The following is a 21,204-nucleotide window of genomic DNA, read 5'->3' as shown; positions in this document are numbered from 1 at the left end:
AAAAGCATATATATGGGAAAGAAAGAAAGAAAGAAAACTGTCCCTATTTGCAGATGATATTATTACCTATGTAGAAAATTCCAGGGAATCTACAACATATCTCCAGAAACTAATAAGTGAGTTCAGCAAGGTTGCAGGATACAAACTAACATACCAAATTAATAGTGTTTCTATATACTAGCAATGCATATATGGACACCAAAATTTAAAATACCATACCATTTACAGTTCCTTTAAAAACAAAAACTGAAATAGGTGAAAATCTAACAAAACATGTCCACGGCTTTTATGCTGAAAACTATAAAATGCTGATTAAAGTAATCAAAGAATATTTAAATAAATGGAGAGATATACTATGTTCATGGACTGGAAGACTCAACATGGTAAAGATGTCCATTCTCCCCAAATTGATACAGAAGTTTAACCTGATTCCTATAAAAATCTAAACAAAAATGTTTGTAGATATCAATAAGATTATTCTAAAATTTGTATGGAAAGGCAAAGGAACTAGAATATCCAAGACACTCTTAAAAAAACAAAGCTGGAAGTCTTATACCACTTATATAGACATCAAGATGTATTTAAAGTTACAGTAATTAAGAGAATATAGTGTTGGTGCATTGGTAGACAGAAAGTCCAGAGACAGACCCACACATATACGGATACTTGAATTTTGTTAAAGATGGTACTGCAGAGATAAGGACAATGTTTTAAGTAATGGTACTGGGTCGAATGGATATTTATATGGAAAAAATATATATAAATTTTGACCCCTATCTTACACCAAACACAAAAATCAATTCCGTATTGATTGTAGATCTAAACATGAACAGCAAAACAGTAAATCTTCAGAAAATAATAATGAGAATTATCTTCATAACCTTGGGTAGGCAAAAATCTCTTAAAACACAAAACCCACTAACCATTAAGGACAAAATTGATAAACTGGGTTATGTTAAAATTAGGAATTCTCTTTATCAAAAGACTGCATATAGACACAGACAAGCAAGACACAAAGGAGAGAATATATTTGCAACACAAATAACTAAAGATTTATCTGATCATTAATTTCTCCATCTATAGGATTACATGAGGTAATATATCTAAGAGGTTGGCACAGTGCCTGGCACATAGAAAGTGTTCCATGAAGTTTCTATTGCCTCTGTTATGACTGAGTCATCCAGGCCAAGGACTGTACCTCAAATCACTCTCAGGCTGACAGATCTCTCTACAGTTTTTGACACTCCACAAAGGAGTCAGAAGAGTTTCCTCAGTTCTTCTTTTACAAACCAGTGTTGAAGACATTTCCTGAGGAACCCCTTCATCCCCCCAGCTGCAGTCCCTATGCAGACCCCCATGCTCGATTGTAAATAACATAGTTGAAGCATTACAAGGCACCAGTGGGGAGGATGAGAGTGGGTTTTCATCTCAGCTGAGTCAGCTCGCGTGGTGGGAAATGCCACAAGAGTGCTGAAAGCAGGAGGGAGGAGTGGCTTGTCACGGGGAAGAAAGCCTCTCTTCTCCCAAATGCTATATCATCTATCTTCACAGCTGCCAGGATGCCCAGAAGTATGGAAGAGGGGGTTTTCAGTATGATTTCAAAAGAGTCACCGTATTCCTGCAGAGACAGGCCCAGAAAAAGCCAGGGAACATCCTGACCTGCCGAAGGATGGGTGGGCATTTGGAGTAGGCCAAGACCAGAGGACAGCCCTCAGGGGGCCACCAGAGTGGTATGAATCCCCACCCCTTAGCTGGGAGGGGCAGAACTTTTGAAGGACTTGGGTTTGCCTCTAGCTACCCACCTTCCTTTTCTTGCTCCCCAGAGAAAAGACACAGAGTCTGGAAGCCCCAGGGCACCAGTATGAAGCCAGGGGTGCTGAGAGCAAAGGCCCTGGGAAAAGCCCACCTCATCATTCTGAGGGACAGCACCCGGCACTGTCTGCAAGCCTTCCCATAGTTTACAGAGCCTGTCTGCACCCCTCCCGGGATCTGATTGAGTTACAGCCCTGTCGGCTAAGAACTATCCTTACCCCCATTTGACAGGTGTCCAAGTTGAGCCTCAGAGAAATAGTGAACTACCTAAGATAGTTCTCAGACAAAGGACTCATCCTACTACCTCCATCAAGTTACCAATAATAATGATGATTATTATCCTTTTTGAGCATCTCTTGTGTGCCAGACATACAACTAAAGGCTTCACTTCCATTAGCTTGTCTTCAGAACAACCACAGAAGTAGGTGAGGATATCCCATTTTATAGACCCAGAGAAGGCAATAATAGTAAGAAATTATACTTGGGGGCAGATACTGTTTGAAACGCTTTAATATATATCAACTCACTTAATATTCTCAAACATCCTGTGAGAATAAGTGCAGTATCATCATCTCCATTTTAGAGATATGGGAACTAAGGCTCAGAGAAGGCAGGTGCATTGTCTGAGGCCACACAACTAGGAAGTAGCAGAATAGGGACTCGAAGCAAGGATTCTTCCCACTATTTTGCATCTGTGGCAGTCCCGGTGACTTACCCAAGGTAACGTGTCTATGGGATGTTGAAATCTGATTAAAACACCTGTCCAAATGCAAGCCCAGAATCTTCCCACCCAGCTGTCATGCAGAGAGAGGGGCTGGGGTCCCTCTGGGTAATGCGGGCTGCCATCTTCTCTCCTTCCAAGACCCACCTCCCTGAGAATGGGTCCCCAGAACCAAGATGCATGGAAGCCGACCCCTGTGTGGTGGGGTCAGGCCAGGTGGGGCTGACGAAGCTGGGACGCAGCCCACCAACGTCCTCTGCCAGCGTTCCGCCTCCATCCGCTTCTCTCTGGCTAAAACCAGCCCCAGACTCTCCTTCTCTCCCTTGGCCCCCATTGAAAGTGTTGGATGGGAGGCAGCAGGGAAGTCAGGAGGGACAGAAGGTCCTTAGCCCTTGTCTACCCTTCCAGGAGGGGGAGATAGGCAGGGGATGTGGTAGAGGGGTGCTGGGCAGAGGTTCTGGAGTTGTGGGAACAGGGTAACCTAGCAACCACTGGGCTCAGTGTCACAAAGCAGGCAGACTTGCCCACAGAACCCACAGCCTTCCCCTCGATTTGTCCTCTTGCTCCTTCCTGCTAGGACAGCAGGGCTTCTCGTACACATGCTGTAGCGGGCACTGCCTTGGTGAGTCCAGGGACCTCTCGGGAGAGGAGATGGACCCTGGACAGCCCAGAAGGGCAGAGGTAGAAAGGGAAGTTTTGTGGCTGGATTGATGGGAGCCCTCAGACCCCTCTGCCTGGCTGGCTGGGGCCCCAGGGACAGAGAGCAGGGGCAGGGCAGGGCAGACTACACTGGGGTCCCACCTGTCCCGCTCTGGACAAGGCAGGCTTGGCCTACTAGAGTCCCTGTCAGCCTCTCTACAGCCGCTGTGGGTTATGACCCCCTGGTGGCTTATTAGATCAATTTAAATGGATCATATCTAACATTTAAGAAATAAAAACCAAAAATAGGGTAAAAATATCAGTGTGCATCATATGTAGTACGGATAAATATTGCTTCAGGATATTATTGTTTTAGTTTCACACACACACACAAACCCATATGTGAATTGGATCATGACATAAAGAATTTCTTACCGTCATCACAGCCAAACACATTTGCAAGTCTCTGTTCTAAAGAGTACTTTTTCCCATAGGCAGGAGGATTTGGGGCTTCCACATATCCTGTTCTCAAGATTGTAGCATCTCAGTACTCTAGAGCCCAGTACCTGACATCAAGGATGTCTGGAGCTTCCTTTTAAGGAAAGAAAAGATCAGCAAACTGTGAGTCAGACTGCCCGGGCTCTGGTTCCTTCTGTGTGACCTCAGCAAATCTCCCCTGCTTCCCTGATCTCAGACAACTCCAACCCATCCCACTACCTGATGAAGGCTGGCATTGGGAGATCTCTGGGGTCCCTTGCAGATTCTGTGACTCTGAGGGTTAATTCTCAGAATGCACTGATGTCCTGTCCCAACCCCATCCCTAGCACTTTGGCTAGATATATATATTCAGGTCCATAGATTTAATCATAATTCTTGGTTTTGACACCTATCATCTTTCATCTATGCCATTTAATTAGTTTATTTAATAATATAATAAACACAAGCAAATACACCACCCAAACCAAGAACAAGAACATCATCACTAACACATCTCCTTATATGCGCTTCTCCTGCACACTTCCCCTCCCCGCCTTCCCTCGGAAATAGCCACTATGTGAATTTCGTGCTTAGCATTTCCTTGTTTGATGCTGTTGTTGCTGTTTTATCGCATGTTCATGATCATTTTGCTTGCTTTTAAACTTTTATTTTTAGAAAGGATCTCAGGCTATGTGGTCCTCTGGAACTTGTGGTCCTCTGGAACACACATAAACTAAACCATTTATGAAAGAAAAATAATATGTTTTTAAACAACATTTATACTGTTTAGTAGTTATTTTATATTATCCACACATTATATATAGTGGATGACAACAATTGTATTGTTTCAAATGCATATATCTTGTTCTACTGCAGCCTATTTAATAGTAATTAATAAAAAGTAAATTGAGTTAATAAGATTGCATAAATATAACATCGCAAAACCAAGAATTGTTAAGTTTTCTCATACTGATTATAAGATTCATCCATGTTGTTACATGTAGCTGTGGCTCATTTATTTTCATAGCAATAAAGTATCCCATTGTCTGAATGCACCACAGCTTATTTATCCATTCTTCTGCCATCAGACATTTGGGTTGCCACCAGGTTTTTGCTATTTTGAACAGTGTTTGTATGAATATTCTTATAAGTAGCCCCTGTTGTACATCTATAAGAATTTCTCTTATATCTGGGAAAGAAATTGCTGGGTGATACAGCATGCAAATGCTCAATTTTAAAAGATATTACCATTTCTCCCCCTAAAGTGCCTGTTCCCGTTTACACTTCCACCACCAGTTCGTGAGAGTTCCTGTTCTGCATCCTCAACACTAGTATTAAGTGAGAGTTCCTGTTCTGCATCCTCAACGCTAGTATTAAGTGCACTGGCCTTTAGTCTGTTAAAAAGCATACAATGGCTACAGATGTTCAATTGGCTGATTATCCACTGATGAGGTGAGGCTCCAAATGCCCACCCTGCTGACTGAGGAGGGCTTGGGGTAGGGCAGGGTAGAAGACAAAGGTGGCCTTGGGGGATCTCAACAGATTAGGAGTCCAAGAGAGGTGGTTCTTACTGGACTTCTGCTGCCGGTCAGCCAGACCCCCCAATGGGTCCTCAGGCTCAAGTTAGCCCAGGTAGTGGGCTTTGCCCCTCCTGGGCAGGGAAAAGACTTGAGCGGGTGCCAGAAGCACTGAGCAAAGGAGTTCCAGGGGTTCTCAGGAGGTGACTTCCTCTGTTACTTGGGGGTAGAAGAGGACAGCTAACTGCAACTTTCAGAGAAGGTTTGCTTTATTTCTTTAAGCCCCAGATCCCTTAGAGGCGAATGGAGAATGGAACAGGAAACTCAGGGGCCAAGTCAGTGGAGTCCTCAGAGGGTCCGGGGGCGGCACGCCTTGCTTAGCACATCCAGAGTCCATCTGTACTCCAAAAGGACTCCCTTCAGCCAGGGCCACCGTGAGAAGGGCATGCAGACAGCGATCAGGCAGGTGGTCCCAGCAGGCCTCCAGTGGGGACTGGCCCACCTTTGCTGATCTTGACCTTCCTCCAAGGGCAGATGCATAGCGTCCTCAGGAAGGGGAGGGGTGTGGGGTAGAGGAGAGAGGACCCAAGCTGGCTTGTCTCCAGCAAAGCAAAACAGAGCTTGAAGCTTCCCTCAGCGCCACAGCCCCAGTAGCTGCTGCGTCAGCTCTTCCTCTCCTAGGAGGGACCCCCATGGGAACAGAACTTGCTGGTCTGGTCTGGCCTAAGCTCCAGCTCTGGCCTCTGGACGCTGAGTCTGAGCCAAGACTACTCCTGAGTGCATGGGGGAGGATGACAGCCTATAGCTGGCCTCTGGGCTGTCCACAGTCTGGCTTGGGGAGAGGCCCCTGTTGAGACCATCCCCATCCCCAGGGATGTATATAAGGTGACTTTGCTCCATCCTGGGTATTTTGATGAGTAGGTGGGTCTGCAGCTTCTCTTTCTGGTTTCAGATATGGTCTCTGGGAAAAAACTGGGGTGCTGGGAGAGTCTGAGTTCCCTCAAATGGATGCCAGCTCCCTGATAAGGAAGACTAACCAGGACAGGATTGCACCAGTTGGGAAAGGACTCTGGGGGAGGCCTAGCTTTTGGTGCTATGGGGGTGGTGGTGAAACCCAGGAAACCAGATTTCAGAGCTCCTCAGGAAGGGGTTCTGTAACAAGCACTGAGCTCTGAGCCCAGGTGGGCCCACTGCCAGAGGAGACTCCATTAGCTTCTCCTGAAACCCCCTCCTTCAGTCCAAAGGCTGAGCTGAAACTGGAGAAGAAGTCAGGGCGCAAGCCAAGGAGCCCCAGGGACAGTGGGCCACAGAAAGAACTGGTGATCCCAGGGATTGTGGATTTCGAGCGGATCCGCCGGGCATTGAGGACCCCAAAGCCCCAAACCCCTGGCACCTACTGCTTTGGACGCCTCAGTCACCACTCCTTCTTCTCCCGGCACCACCCACACCCCCAGCACGTGACCCACATCCAAGGTAGGGCCTGGCTGGTTGGGGTGGGAGCAGAGGGAGTATCACTAATTGGTCTTGAGAACTGGGAAGCAAGAATTGATGGCAGCCCATTTCCAGGCTGGGGCCCAGAGAGGATGGGGTCCAGGATCCCAGGGCTGCCAAAGAACCCAGCCAGGACTGCTCAGTGGGCAGGAGAGAAGCCTCCAAGGGTGGGTGACAGGTTCCCTACAGATTCCCCTGACTGCTGGGTTCTCCCATTTTACAAATCAGAGAAAGGGATAAGTTCTGTCCTGGAGCAGTGCTCTGTTCTCTTAAGTTCTCTAACTTAGGCCATGTCAGCCACTCAGCCATCCAGCCAGCCATCAAATATTGATTGAGTGTGAACTATTGGCTAGGCACTTTTTTAGGCCTTGGGGATACAACAGTGAACAAGACAGACATGGTGGCCCCCCTCCTGGAGCTGACCTCCAGTGGGGAGGGATGGGAGATGGGGAAGGTGTCAAGTGCCCAGGCTGCAGTGGGAAGATAGCTATTTTTGAAAGGTGGTCACAGAAGACATGGCCATTAACATGACATTTGAGCAAAGAACTACACAGGAACTATGCACACAGCAGGGGAAAGATGTCTCAGGCAGGTAGATCAGCAAATACAAAGTCCAGAAGGCAAGAGCGCTCCCACTCTGTTGGAGCAGCAGCAAGGAAGCAGAAGCTGGTCTGGCTGGAGTAAAGTAGGAGAGGAGAACGGAGAAGGCATCAGGGAGACAGTGGGCCCAGATCAGGTAGGCATTTGGGCCACTATTGTCACCATTAAGCCACTTTCCTGAATCAGCTGGAGCCCTTGGAAGGCTGAGAGCACAGAAGTGAGATGTTTTAACAAGGTCATCCTGGCCTCTGTCTTAAGTGTGGCTTGGACCAGGGGCTAGAAGTGGAAGACTCAGTGGCTCTATGCTGGAGATATGTGAAATGTAAAGTCAGTAGGACTTGGCGATTGATTAAAAGTGGAGTGTGAGAGGAAGAGAAGAGTCAAGGCCGACTTAGATTTTTGGCTTGAGCACCTGGGAAACTGGAGTACATTGACTGAGGCAGGGAAATGTGCAGAAGGGCTAGTGTAGGCTGGGAGGAGTCAGGGGTTTGGTTTCTGATGTGGGAGATGGGTGATGCGAGATGCTTTCTAGACCTCCAGGTGGAGGTACGGGGGTGCAGTCGGATCTGGAGTTCAGGGCAGAGACACAGACGTGAGAGCCATTCGAGAGGGGGTGTTTCAAGTGGTGGGCCTGGGTAGGATCCCCAAGGAGTCCGTGTAGCTACCGGAGAGAAAAACCTGGGGACAGGTACCTGGGGACCCCAGGATTAAGAGGTTGAGAAGATGAGAAGTCGGCAGAGGAGATGAGGAGAGGTAGGGAGCCGGGACAAGAGTGAGGAGTCCTGGCACCAAAAGGGAAGTGTTTCAGGGAGGAGACAGCAGCCCTGCTAGGTCCTTGCCAGGCCGATCTTCAAGCCTCACTGTCAATAGTGATATAATAATCACCCAGGGTTAGCCAGAAGGGTCCTCAAGTGCAAACGGCCCCCACTACCTCCAGGCTGCCCTGCACGCAGCCTTGCACAGGCTGACCAAAGCAGAAGTTTTCTGCAGAGGGTGTGGCTCAATCTCTCTCCCTGTCATGTGAGCCCAGGCCTCTCCCATCATGAACTGTGACATAATGCCCTCGCCCCAGCATTCTCATCTTTAAGCTGCCTGCCTACCCGTTTGTACTCACATCGGCAATTTGTTGCCCTGTCACAGGAAATCGGAAGATCCCCAGGACTAGGGGCCCAGGAAGCCTAAGTTCTTGTCTCACCTCTGCCCAAATCACAGTGTGGCCCTGAGCGGGCCTTTCCCCTGTCCATTCTAGGATCCCCCCGTGGGTGAGGCGGTCGCTGGTCTAGGTGGTTACAATGCCCTCCCAGCTCTGATAATCTATCAGCTGGTGGTTACTGGAAGAGGTGGAGCCGGAATCACCCTGCCTCTCAGCCTCTTCCCTGCCTCCTGGAGCTCTTAAGGTCCACCTAAGCCTCCCTTCCCACAGCCTCTAACCCTTTGCAGATCTCACCGGGAAGCCTGTCTGTGTCGTCAGGGATTTTCCAGCCCCCTTGCCTGAGTCAACTGTCTTTTCCGGCTGTCAAATGGGGATACCCACCATCTCTGTCCCCATTGGAGACCCACAGTCTAATCGGAACCCCCAGCTTTCTTCTGGTGGGTACTTGGGCCATGCCTCCCTCTACCCTGGGGCTCATGCCTCTCCCCAAGGCTGCCTCACTTGGGTGGGTGCCCAGAAGGAAAGGGCCATCGCTCTTAGGTCAGTGAGGTCCGTTGGGGGAACCCCACTTTTTCTCCCATTTCCTTGGACAGCCTAATCTCTGCATTACTCCCCACCCAGCAAGTCCTAGCCAGCAGAAATGCACCCCTGCTTGGATTTGAGGTGCTTGAGGAGTAATAACACACAGAGGGCAAGCAGATGTTGAGCCTGCAGTCATGTGACTGGCAGCTGTAGGCCAGAATGCTATAGGGAATATTTAGTAGCTTGTGTGCTCAGGCATTGGCCAACCAGAACAATCAGCCACAGTGCTGGCTTGGCGTTTCAGAGGTCTCTGCTCTGCCAAGCATTATCCTTTCCACCACTGAGGTGCTGGAAGCCAGTTTGGTGGGGACAGGGAAGAGATCCTGGAGAAGGGGCTGGGGCTGCCAGTGCAGGGCAGAGAGACTTGGAAGGCTGGCTGCTGCTCTCTTTGCCACCCTCTCCAGGGAGTAGTTTGATTTCTTAATAACAGGCCCATCTGTATCTCCTCAGCTTCAGTCTTGGCCTCAGGGACCTAAAAGAGGCAAAGCTAGATTAAACCATGTGCATCTTGGCACAGGTAACCAAATATTCTCCAGCATCCCCTAGAAATGCCACAGGCTAGGACATCAACATCAGCCCCTGCTAGAAGGAAAGCAATGCCCCACCCCCGCACCCCACCCACTGCCACAACCACCACCCATGGTGTGAATCCAGATCCTTCTCCCTCCAGGGCACCGCCTCCCCCTTTCCCTTTAAGATCCAGGCAGGGAGGCCAGGAAGGAGAGCAGACTCCTCTACCAAGGCCTGGTGGCACAGGGAGGGGAGGAGGGCCCCTGACTTCAGTTGGCAGGACCTTGTCCCCTCCTCCCAGAAGCCTGGAAGAAGGAGTTGAAGGAGCTAGCTTCCCGGGTGGCCTTCCTCACCAAGGAGGATGAACTGAAGAAGAAAGAGGTGGGTGCGGAACACAGGAGCTAGTCTGGGAAGAGGAGAAACGGATCCTTCCCTGTGTAAGGAGATCCCTCCCGAGTCAGTTCAGCCTACCAGAGGTGGGGTGGGGGGACTGATTCATACAAACGTCAGGGGAAAGGTCACAGTGAGGGAGAGAGCACACCTAGGTGGAGAAATCCAAGCAGGGGTTTTAGGACAGGAGGCACTTGGGGGCCTTCGATATCTAAGTGAGATGTTCACAAGGGGACTGAGGAGTTCCGAGCAGAGGCACCTAGCACAGCAGCTCAAAAGCTGGCAAATGCAGGGCACCATCAGAAACCAGGCTATAAGTGGGCAGCAATGGGAAAGGTGAGGGGGGGCAGACTTTGCATGTGGGGAGGAGCAGCTTGTTCTTAATTGCCAAGATTTTTAGTGTCTAATCGCATAAGGAGCAGAGAATCTCGGAAGGTTTTCAAACATGATAGGGGTGACCCCATGGGTGCCATTTGATGATAAAACAGTAAAGTCACCTGAGAGGCAGCTTGAAGGTGACTGGAATTGCTCTTAGGACAGTCTGGTCCTGCCCCTTGTCTTGGGTAACCAGAGTGGACAGGCAGAGGCCCGGCTTCTCATTCCTGCTCACAACTAACTCACTGCAGCACTCAGGACAACTCAGCTAAGCTGTCTGGGTCTCTGTTTTCTTATCTTTAAAATGGGGGGAAGGATACTACCAGTCTTAATTGGAATTGCAAGAGCAGGAGGCCCCAGGCACCAGGCCTCTCTGGGACAGACCTGGGGGCAGCTGAGCTGGGAATTAAGGTAGGCGGTGGGCCCTTGGTGCAGGATGCTGTTTTCAAATCTCTGATGGGTGTGGGGAGGAGCAGCAAGGAGGACCTACCTGGGAGGGAGAACGAGAACCACCCGCGGGCATCCAGCGATCGACCCTGCATTACTGAGTTCCAGGAGGAAGAGCTTTTGCTGGTTTAAGCGTGATAGCTGATAGTGGAAGGGCCAGCTGCCAGAGAGAGGGCCGGGGATGCCCAAGGAGGGGTCTAGGGCAGGTGAGGTTGGGGGGGTGGCAGAGCTGGATGATACCCTGGGACCCTGGCAACGCTGTGATGCTGGGATTTGGGAGGCGAAGTGCCCTGGGATTGTGACCCGGCCTCCTGCTCCTCTCCTCCCCTCAGCCCTCTTCCTCCCCTCTTGCTGACTGCCTGGAGTCTCTGGCCACTTTTGTCCCAGCAGAAGGAGCAGAAGGAGGAGCCTCTGCGGGAGCAGGGGGCAAAGTACTCAGCAGAGACTGGGAGGCTCATCCCCGCTTCCACCCGGGCTGTCGGCCGCCGCAGATCTCACCAGGGCCAGCAGAGTCAGTCTTCCAGCAGACATGAAGGAGTCCAGGCTTTCCTCCTTCAGGATCAGGAGCTGCTGGTGAGGGCCCAGTTCTGCTCCCAGGCTCCTGGCTCTCCACATTAGGGGTCTTACAAACCGCTTTAGGGCAAGGCCCCTCCCAGGGATACTGGTGCCTAGGACTGTTAAGAACAGAAAACTCCAGCCCTGTGGAGTCAGCAGCAGGGGCTATGACCCCCTGCTGCCTCTAGGTTTCCATGTGAGTCCTTTCCCCTCCCTGGGCCCTAGTTCCGTGATCTCTCCACTGGAAGCATGAACGCACTGTTGTCGAGGGTCCCTTCCAGCTGTAGCATTTGCTGAGTTAGTGAAGGGAGCTGCAATGGTGGGTTGAAGAAGGAGGTCCTGCCCATCACAGCAGGCCGCACCCCACAGCCTGCATGGCTAGGCCCAGCCTGGTGTCCACACTCAGCGAGGGGCCTGGCTTGTGCTTCAGTGAGCCCAGAGCCCACCTCCTCCATGCTCACGTTTCCCCACTGAGGCCTGAGATGAGTCCATGCCTCATCCCGGTGGGTGAAGGCGTCAGAGGTCCCTGTGAAAATGCACGGATGTCCTCCAAGAAAGGCCAGAGGTAGACCCAGCATTCTGCCACCTTCCTTGTGACCAGCACTGTCAGGCACACACTCCCTCTGAAACCTTACCACAATGCAGCAAAGTGGATAGAGCAGACAGGGTTCAGCACCTCCATGCCACGGATGGGGAGGCCGAGGCCCTGCCAAGTGATAGTCCATGGGCCAGGTCCCCTGAGACGGAGCAGCATAGCCAGGACTAAGGTGCTTTCTCCACCATAGGGCGGCCTCACCTCACCTGGAATTAGGTTCTCAGGTCCTGTGGGGAGGGGGCACAAGGCAGGTAAGTTGGACACAGAGAATGGAGAAGGGCCCAGGGGCAGGTCAGGGTGGGTCAGCACAGCGGGTGGGCATCTGGGGACGAGGGTGGACCCCTAAGCAGGCAGAGGCCTGGGGAGAGGCCCAGCCCAGATTCCACTCTGCTGAGGATGAGGCCGACCTGCTGGGGACCGACGGGCCCCTCCAGGTCCTAGGATGACTGACCGCCAGGAGCTGAGGGGGCCTCACTTTCTTAGGACTCCAGGGCTTCCACCTTTCACCTCAGGCCCCAACTCCAGCCTGCCATAGCTACAGCCACCAGCAGCAGTCTGGCCTAGGGAGCCCCCATAGCCCATCCCAGACACAGCTGGATCTTTTCCTGATGCTAACTGACTGGAGAACGCAGGGGAAAATGAGCCCGGAAGTAGCAAAGATGTCAAAGACTGAGGATGCAGCAAGGAGCCAAGCATGCCCACAGCTCTGCAGGAGGGAGCCGGTGCTGAGCAGTTTGCAGAACCGGCCTGTGCTGCCCCGCCTCAGGCTGCCCTCTGGGCTTCCCCCATCCCTTTTCCAACATCCCCAGACTCTGGGACTTTTAGGGTATGGCTTACCATGGGGTTCCTGAAATCCCCACACCAAGGCCCTGGGCATGTGGGATTTGGTGTGTCTCTGAGGAGCTGACTGGCCAGCTCGGACCTTGGCTTCCCAGTGAGGGGGCCCTAGGGAATAACCAGCCAAGCAGGCTTCAGGGATGTGGGGTCCACAGAACCTTTCGCTGAGGTCGTGTCCTGCCACCAACTACCTGCTAGCATCCCCTCTCAGGGCCTCGGATTCTCCACCCGTCCAGCAGGAAGATTAAGAATCTTCCTCCTGGACTGTTGTGAGACAAAGCCCTCCGTTAAGTGCAAAGCCCAATGTGGAGGAAAAGGCACAGACCCTTGTGGGAACACGTTTAGCCCAGCAGGCGCCTCTGGGAGCCCACTTTGGGGGAAGGGTCTCCTTGGTGCCCTCCAAACCTACATTTGCCTGTACTCCTTGCCTGTACTCCTGGCTGGAATGTGCTGGCCTCCTGCCCACAGGTCCTGGAGCTCCTGTGTCGGATCCTGGAAACAGACTTGCTAAGCGCAATCCAGTTCTGGCTGCTCTACGCTCCGCCCAAGGGTGAGGACACAGCCCCGCAGCACTGTCTCAGTGGAGGCTGCCAAGGTCCTGCCCTTGATCTCTGGTTCTGCAGGACTCAAATGTCCCTCAGCTCCCACCCTGGAGGGGGCCTTCCATGGAGGCCTCTCCTCCACTTTGGAGCCCCAAACTAACCCTTCCCAGCTGGACAGCATCTCTGCTTCCTCCTCCCCAATTCCTCAGCAGGATTTCCTTACCCCTGCTCCTTGGAGGGGACCCCTCTTTCATGCTGACCCCAGGCCTAGGCACCTGGGAGGAAAAAATCCAAAGACTGAACTTAGCAGACACAGCCCCTCACACGTTGCATTGGGAGACCCCCACACACACACAGGTGCAAGTAGATGCACATAAGGCTACTCATGTGTATACACATGAACACAGGAATACACACGCGGACGCACTGGGACAGTGGGTAGGGGGTGCATCTGAGTAGAAGGGTGAGGAGTGATGAGAACCAGGAAGCTAATTGGAGAAGACTTCCTGGACAGGAGAGTGAAGGAGAAGGGGGAGGAGGAAGGCAGGTCCCCAGTAGACTTCCCAGCGTGGGCCCGGGGATATGGTGGGCAGGAGGGCCAGCTGGGGCCAAGAACAAGGCGTACACATCCTCATGTGGCAGGACAGGGATGTGAAAGGGCTAGGGGCTCTGCACACATGGGCCAGGAGAGAAGGGGGAGCTCTCCCGAGGGGACCTGAGGGCAGAAGGTGGGATGCTTAGAGAAAGCTGCCCTGGATGGAGGCCCTGCTTCTGGCCCCGCCACAGGGACAGGAAGGGGGCTGGGGGCTGAGGACACTGCCCCCGGGCTGTGCTTTCAGAAAAAGACCTCGCTCTGGGACTCCTGCAGACAGCAGTGGCTCAGCTCCTTCCCCAGCCCCTAGTCTCCATCCCTACAGAAAAGCTCCTAAGCCAGCTTCCAGAAGTGCATGAACCTCCTCAAGAGAAGCAAGAGCCACCCTGCAGGTGGGCCCCGCACCCCGCCCTGCCCTTCTGCAGCCTTCTGTCCTCCCAGGTGAGGCCAGTGGGACCTGGAGAAGGGAGCCTGGCGCTGACCAGGGTCTGGGCTGACTAAGTCTGTCCTGGAGGCAGAGGCCCAGCCCCTCCCCCAGGGACCTTCTAGTGCTACCCAAGCCACTTCAAGGCCAACACAGCCAGACCAGCCCCCAAACTGCCAGGGCTGGGGACACCCCAAGGGGGCCACCGGAGTCAATTTTAACCAGATAAGGCTGGATTAGCCACACCTAACTCTTCAGAAGCTCTTTGGTCTATGGGAAGACATGAGTAGAGAGAAAATGCTAACACAAGGCAGTGGTTTTATACCAGTACTAAGTGCCCTGATGGCTGGAAGAGAAAGATTAATTACGAACTGGGGGAGGCCTCACAAGGCAGGTGAGTGGAGCCTGAGAGTCAGCAAGGCCACTGAGCAGCGATAAGTTTGCCTGACACCGCTGGGTGTTCCACGTTTTTCTAGTCCATCCAACAACCCACTGAGGCAGTATTAGCTCCATTTTACAGATGGGAAAACTGAGGCTCAGGAACAATAGAATGGCCTACCCAAAGTAACCTGACTGGTCGGCAGAAGGGCTGGGATTCAGTCTTGGACCCGACTGACTCCCAAAGCCAGCAGCACTCAGATTCTCCCCGGGAGCTTGTTAAAAATGCAGACCCCTAAAGATTCTAACATAGCAGGCCGGGGTGAAGCCGGGGGGGCCTGTATTTTTAACAGTCACCTGAGTGTTTCCAACAGAGTTTGGGAAACACTGATAGGAGTGGTAGGATTTGACTGAGCAAATGAAAGCTTGGGAAAAGGTCATCCCGGGAAGTGGGACCAGCCTGGGTGAAGGCATGGAAGTCAGGAAGGTATACAACTGGGGAATGACAAGTTTGAGGTGTCTGGAGCATGGGTGGGCTTGGTGAGAAGAAGCAGGGGTAGGGGTGGACTGAGGTTTCTTGAAGTCATGGGTTCTTGCAAGGCCTTGGACTTGGTGTTCCCTTCCACTCTGAGAGAGCAGAGGAGGAACGGCCTAGCGAGGAAGACAGGCTTCACTGTGACCTTGGGCAAACCACCTCCCAGCTGCGATCATCAGCTTCAACTATCTCTCAAAAGCCCCCTCCCAGAGTCGTAGGGAGGGAAAATAACATCGGGCACATAAAAAGGCATGGGGAGATGTAAAGCCCAATGCAAGACGGAAGAGCATCTTTCATACTTTGAATTCATTCAAGACGCAGGGTTCTTGTCTTGCCCACTCAAAGGGAAGTCCACAAGGAAACCAGTGGAGCGAGTGAGTCAGGGCTAGGGGGAGGGCTGATGCAGAGTCCATGCCCTGTTTCTCCAGAGACAGGAGGGCCTTGCTTCCCAGTGGAACTAACTGCAGACGGCAGGGCCACAGTTGTCTGGGTCTGGCCTGGGGTGATACAGGAAGGCCACCTGGGTGCTAGTCATGGACAGATGTTTTCTGGCCCTCCAGGAGGGGTGACTCTTGCCTCTCCCTGGAGCAGACAGCTGACTGCACCTGCACCACCTTCCCCACCTCCCTGTCTCCCCTGCCACCCGTGGGGTCAGGTTTCCAGCATGACCTTCCCAGCCCCTTCTTTGTATTTGGTCACAGTCAATCCCCGAAGAAAACGAAGATATCACCTTTTACAAAAAGCGAAAAACCAGGTAAGATTCCAAGTAGTGGGTCATTTGGGGGACTCACCAAGGCCCACTCTGGCTGGATTTCTCAGGGGATTCCAGTCAACTTGGAGATGAGTCCCTGCCCAAGGATGCTGCTCATTTCATCTATTCATTCACTTATTCATATTCATTCTTTAACAAATATTTATCGAGCACCCACAATGTGCTGAACTCTGGGGATCAGTGAGGAAGAATTCAGACAAGTTCCTGCTGTCACGGAACTTACATCCCAGCAAGGAGGAATACAGACAACAAATTAAAACACCTGGGGAGGAGTGGAGACAGATACTGTAAGGAGAATAACAAGGCTCTGTGGTCAGTAGTGAGAAGGACTGGCAGGTGGGGAGAGGGCTCCTAGAGCTGAACGGCAGGAAAGATACAGCTCTACCCAAGTCTAGGAAGAGCCAACCAGCAAAGCTCCCACCTCTTGGTGTGCTGGTGGAAAAACAAGCAGACCATGGTGGCTGGGGCCTTCTGGGTGGGGGACAGTGGTAAGGGAGGCATGAGACAGGTGGGAGGAGCTGGCCTGCGGTAAAGGCCAGGTGTGTGCATGGGTGTAGAAGAGGGTTATGAGCAGGGTGTGCATGCCCCCTCTGGCTACTGTGTGCAGCACGGACTATGGGGGACAAGAATGGGTGAGGGAGACCAAGGAGAGGCTGCTGCAGTCATCCTGGTGCCTTAGACTAGAGTGGGGGGCAGGGGTGGCAGCAGGCTGGAGGGGAGAGAAAAGGAAACACATCCTCAATGTATATTATTCTCCCTGATTAGACCATCAAAGGTCCAGAGTGCCTGGCAGAGAGGCACAGAGTAGGCATCTCATTGATATTTGTTACTTGGATGTTGAAAGAAGAGAGGTTGGATTCCATTCGCTCCATTCCTCTCAGGTTGGATTCCCTCCTCGGTCACCAGCAGAGCTGAGAGCAGGAGCTGGGCTTGACTCAGACCTTCCCCTCAGCACTCACACATCCACCTGCAGCTCCCAGGTGGGGGCCCCACCTTCCCGGTCCTCTCCTGCCTGCTGTCTCTCCTCCCACTAGAGTACATTGGAGAAGCTCAAGTCCTCCAGATGCATTCAAGCCAGAACACAGAGAAGAAGACATCGAAGCCGAGGGCAGAGAGCTGAGGGGCCCTAACACTTGCACCTGCCTTGCTCAAGAGCAGCCCCAAGGGTTCAGGGGTGTTTCTGTCTCCACCACCTTCACAGCAGTACCTGATTCCCTACCGTGAAAACTCTTACTAAATAAAACCGTCTTCCCTGAGAGAGGACAGTTCTGCTTTCCTAGCAGTGGGAGGCCTGTGCTTGGTTGGGGTCACTGATGCCAAGAGAGAGATGGGCTGCACGGAACCATCCCTACTCCCCACTCCCATGGGAAAGCCCAAGTGCTACCTCCACGTGGGGCTTCCCTGGTCCTTTTATGTTCTAGAGAACTGAAGGGCAGATGGCAGTTGGGGCATCCTGAGAAAGGACTCTGCCCCTCCTGGAGCTGAGACACACAGGACTCTGGGTAGGGTAGAGCAGAGGTCGGGGAACGTGTAGGCCTCCTTAGAAGGATCACTGTTGCCAATTATTGAGTTTCTATTTTTGTGTGTGCTGGGCACAGAGGCAGCGACTTAGGTAAAAGCTGGTGATGAGCACAGTGTGAATTGTTCTATGTGCTTTATATGCAGTACATATCTACACACATGCAGGTGAAACAACTTGTCCAAAGTCCTACAGTTAACAAGTGGCAGAGCCTGGGTGTCTGGCTCCAGAATCCCTGCTCCTAAAACCTGCATTCTGGCCGGGCGCGGTGGCTCACGCCTGTAATCCCAGGACTTTGGGAGGCTGAGGTGGGCGGATCACCTGAGATCAGGAGTTCAACACAAGCCTGACCAACATGGCGAAACACCATCTCTACTAAAAATACAAAAATTAGCCAGGCATGGTAGTGGATGCTTGCAATCCCAGCTACTCAGGAGGCTGAGGCAGGAGAATCACTTCAACCTGAGGGGTAGAGGTTGCAGTGAGCCAAGATCATGCCAGTGCACTCTAGCTTGGGCAACAGAGCGAGACTCCGTCTCAGAATTCAAAACAAAACAAAACAAAACAAAACTGTATTATACTGCCTTACCCACCCTAGCCAAAAGCTGTGGTTACATTTCTGAAATCATAAGATCTAGAGAAGACTCTCTGGGAAGTCCAATGTCTTCCATGACATTTCTGCAAATTCCCTGGAAAATTGGGATGGGAGGAGGCATTGAGGATTTACAAGGTCATTGTCCCCTGTGGCTCTGAGCTGCTATTTTACTGGCTTAGTTAATGAAGTAAGTGGACTTAGTTCCATGGATTGCGGCTCCATTCTATGCTTGCAACACTACCCTACCTTACATTCATTCAGATAGATTCAGTCCCTCTGGATTTTCCCAAACACTCCATTCACACAAAACTTTTCTGTACAGCAGGCTTCAATCAAGATTAGTGATGGATAGGGATTTGCTGTTAAGTAAACAGCTTCACGTTCAACATTAAGCCACCTTGTTTTTAAAGGCCCTCGCCCCTCTTCCACTGGGGTTGTCTCCCCAGCAGCAGCGCATGTAAGAATGATGCGGCCATGTTCAGGAGAGTCTCTAGGCCCTGCTCCCCAAGGTGCTCCCTGTCCTCTTGGGTATCCGAGTGATTTCTCATGGGGGTCAGGATGCCATGGCCACTTCCTGGTCACTCCTAAATTTTCTCTGTCTCCAGGCCCTGGAAGTTCTCTTCTCCCTTTCCCCTGCTTCTCTCCCTGAAGCATGGAGACAGATTTTCCCTTTCATCTTTTCTCTGAAGGCTCTAGGTCCTTCCTGGGACTCAGTCTCCTTAGCCATGGAGGTAGCCCTTGTTCTTGGCTATCCAGGAATGTGAAACCTAGCACTGTCCAACCAAAGCCCCCCATCCCTTCACATAGTGAAGCAGCCTCATTGTCTAGGGTGATACCTAAGGTTTATTGTCTCACAGCCAAGGAAATCAAGGACACAGACACACAAAGAGTGAGGTTAAGAGTGGAAGTTTTAATAGGTGAAAGAAAGAGAAGAGCTCTCTGCTGCAGACAGTCGTCCCAGAGAAATGGGTTGCTGGTTCCATGGTGAAATGCAGGTGGTTTTATAGATGAGGTTGAGGAGGCGGTGTCTGACTTACATAGAGTGGGAAAGATTGGTTGGAGCAGGTGTGCCTTTGCATAGGGCACGAAAAACTGGTTAGGACTAGGTGTGCCATTTGCACAGGGTGAGAATTTCTGGCCACCCTCACCCTAATCTTTTATTATGCAGGCCTCTGCCTGGCCTGCGCCAGGTTGCCCATTCCTTTACTGTACACATGATAACAAAAAAAAGGGAAGATGGAGCCTCCATGTTGGACATGCCTGGCTCCCAGGTAGCCCTTTTCTATTGGCACAGCTGCCATCATTCCCCGTTACAAGCTTCCAGCTTGTTTATCTGTGCTTGCAGCTCGATTTTTCAGGCTACTCTTTGTTAGAAAAAAATAATTATTGGGCTGTTTTTTGTTAAAAGGGAAGCTCTGCTGGGGACTCTTTTACCCTCACTATCTGCCTAAATAATTTCTACCTCCTGTATCAACAGGACTGGTTAGGGGTAGGATAAGCATGTAACCCAAGCTGGGCCAATCACATTCTGTCCTTGGAAATGTTTTTTCGGGGGAAGGAAGGTTGGAGTATCAGAGAATTCCATCATTGTTCCATGGGGACAAAGCCCTGGATACAGTCACACCTGAGGCTCCTGATTCTTCCCCACCCTTCTCCATGTGTGAGGCAATAAAATTCCTTGCCCATCCAATAGTTGATTTTTATGTATATTTTTCTACATAAAATTTACCACCTTAACCATTTTAAAATACACAGTTCAGTGGCATTAAGTAGATTCACATCGCTGTGCCACCATCACTCCCATCTGTCCACAGAATTCTTTTCATCTTGCAAAGCTAACACTCTATGCCCATTAAACAATAACTCCCCATTCTCTCCTCTCCCAGTTCCTGGCAACACCATTTTATGCTCTGTCTCTATGGTATTGACTGCTCTAGGTACCTCACTTAAGTAGAATCATACAGTATTTGTCCTTCTGTGACTGGCTGATTTCACTTAGCATAATGTCCTCACTATTCAGCCATCCTGCAGTATATGTTAGAATTTCCCTCCTTTTTTTTTTTTTTTTTTTTTTTTTTTGACAGAGTTTCACTGTTGTTGCCCAGGCTGGAGTGCAATGCGTGATCTTGGCTCACTGCCACCTCTGTCTCCCAGGTTCAAGCAATTCTCCTGCCTGAGCCTCCCGAGTAGCTGGTATTACAGGCATGCGCCACCATGCCGGGCTAATTTTGTATTTTTAGTAGAGACAGGGTTTCACCATGTTAGTCAGGCTGATCTTGAACTCCTAACCTCAGGTGATCTGCCCACCTCAGCCTCCCAAAGTGCTGGGGTTACAGGCGTGAGCCACCATGCCCAGCCAATTTCCTTCCTTTTTTAGCCAAATGACAGTCTCTTGTATGAATATACCACCTAACGTTTATCCATTCATCCATCAATGGACACTTGGGTTGTTTCCACTTTTTGTCTATTGTGAATAATGCTGCTATGAGAATGAATGCACAAAAGCAGTTGATTTTTGTGTCACATGTGATGAAAAGGATCCACAATAATCTAAGGTCATATAGCTGGTAAGCAGAGGTTTCAGAATTGAAATCCAGATTCACCAAACTACAGGTCCTGGCTCTGAGTGACTGACAAGAGCCCTTGGTTTCTAAACTTGAGCCATTCCCACACCCCATCATGAATTTTGGTATACCTGGTTTTTTCTTTCTCTCTCTTTCTTTCTTTCTTTCTTTCTTTCTTTCTTTCTTTCTTTCTTTCTTTCTTTCTCTCTTTCTTTCTTTCTCTCTTTCTTTCTTTTTTGAGACATGTTCCACTCTGTGGCCCAGGTTGGAGTGCAGCTCACTGCAGTCTCAAACTCCTGGACTCAAGCAATTCTCCCACCTCAGCCTCCTCAGTAGCTGGGACTACAGGCACATGCCACCATGCCTGGCTAATTTTTGCATTTTTGTGTAGAGACAGGGTCTCCCTGTGTTGCCCAGGCTGGTCTTGAACTTCTGGGCTCAAGTGATCTGCCCACCTCCACCTCCCAAAGCGCTAGGATTACAGGTGTGAGCCACTACACCCAGCCTTGTTAGAAGTATCTACCACCTATACGCTTCCTTAATGTTTATTTAAATTTACCTTTCTCTTTTTGCTTAAATAAA

At 51.0% G+C, this 21,204-nt stretch overlaps 1 protein-coding gene across 31 annotated transcripts, besides 2 other annotated features; it reads left to right on the top strand.

The window, feature by feature from the left end:
* Positions 1-3,062: 3,062 nt before the first annotated feature.
* Positions 3,063-17,202, top strand: TBATA (thymus, brain and testes associated). Of its 31 annotated transcripts, none has more exons than XM_017015846.2 (13): positions 3,063-3,155; positions 3,667-3,793; positions 4,915-5,101; positions 6,404-6,639; positions 8,698-8,847; positions 9,804-9,883; positions 10,583-10,678; positions 11,105-11,287; positions 13,170-13,251; positions 14,083-14,276; positions 15,828-15,926; positions 16,095-16,231; positions 16,826-17,202. In XM_017015846.2, the coding sequence occupies exons 3-13, from the start codon at positions 5,061-5,063 to the stop codon at positions 16,857-16,859; spliced, it is 1,332 nt and encodes a 443-aa protein (XP_016871335.1). In that variant the 5' UTR covers positions 3,063-3,155; positions 3,667-3,793; positions 4,915-5,060; the 3' UTR covers positions 16,860-17,202. The 31 variants fall into 31 exon arrangements, 25 of the variants coding, with proteins under 25 accessions (XP_016871335.1, XP_016871334.1, XP_016871342.1 ...); XM_017015845.2 differs by having other exon boundaries at positions 16,710-17,202; XM_017015853.2 differs by lacking the exon at positions 16,095-16,231 and having other exon boundaries at positions 14,083-14,227; positions 15,874-15,926; positions 16,979-17,202.
* Positions 11,362-12,189: an enhancer, noted in NCBI's record as "H3K4me1 hESC enhancer chr10:72536007-72536834 (GRCh37/hg19 assembly coordinates)". NCBI's record gives its function as "activates a minimal SCP1, AML or CMV promoter by ChIP-STARR-seq in primed H9 embryonic stem cells {active_cell/tissue: H9 hESC(primed)}" and the evidence as "EXISTENCE:reporter gene assay evidence [ECO:0000049][PMID:30033119]".
* Positions 11,912-12,093: a silencer, noted in NCBI's record as "fragment chr10:72536103-72536284 (GRCh37/hg19 assembly coordinates)". NCBI's record gives its function as "represses an EF-1alpha promoter that drives an FKBP-Casp9 reporter gene in an ReSE screen in HepG2 liver carcinoma cells {active_cell/tissue: HepG2}" and the evidence as "EXISTENCE:reporter gene assay evidence [ECO:0000049][PMID:32094911]".
* Positions 17,203-21,204: the final 4,002 nt, after the last annotated feature.

Source organism: Homo sapiens, chromosome 10 (genome assembly GCF_000001405.40).
Source record: "Homo sapiens chromosome 10, GRCh38.p14 Primary Assembly".
In the NCBI taxonomy this organism is placed as follows: Eukaryota; Metazoa; Chordata; class Mammalia; order Primates; family Hominidae; genus Homo; species Homo sapiens.
Note: the sequence above shows the minus strand (reverse complement) of the source record. Positions and strands in the feature narration are given on the sequence as shown.

Bases quoted from the DNA above. Each gene is read 5' to 3' on its own strand.
- TBATA (XM_017015845.2), top strand. From the start codon at position 5,061: ATGGCTACAGATGTTCAATTGGCTGATTATCCACTGATGAG. The intron at 6,640-8,697 runs GTAGGGCCTGGC...AACCCTTTGCAG, and splicing joins GCACGTGACCCACATCCAAG to ATCTCACCGGGAAGCCTGTC. The intron at 9,884-10,582 runs GTGGGTGCGGAA...AATGGGGGGAAG, and splicing joins ATGAACTGAAGAAGAAAGAG to GATACTACCAGTCTTAATTG.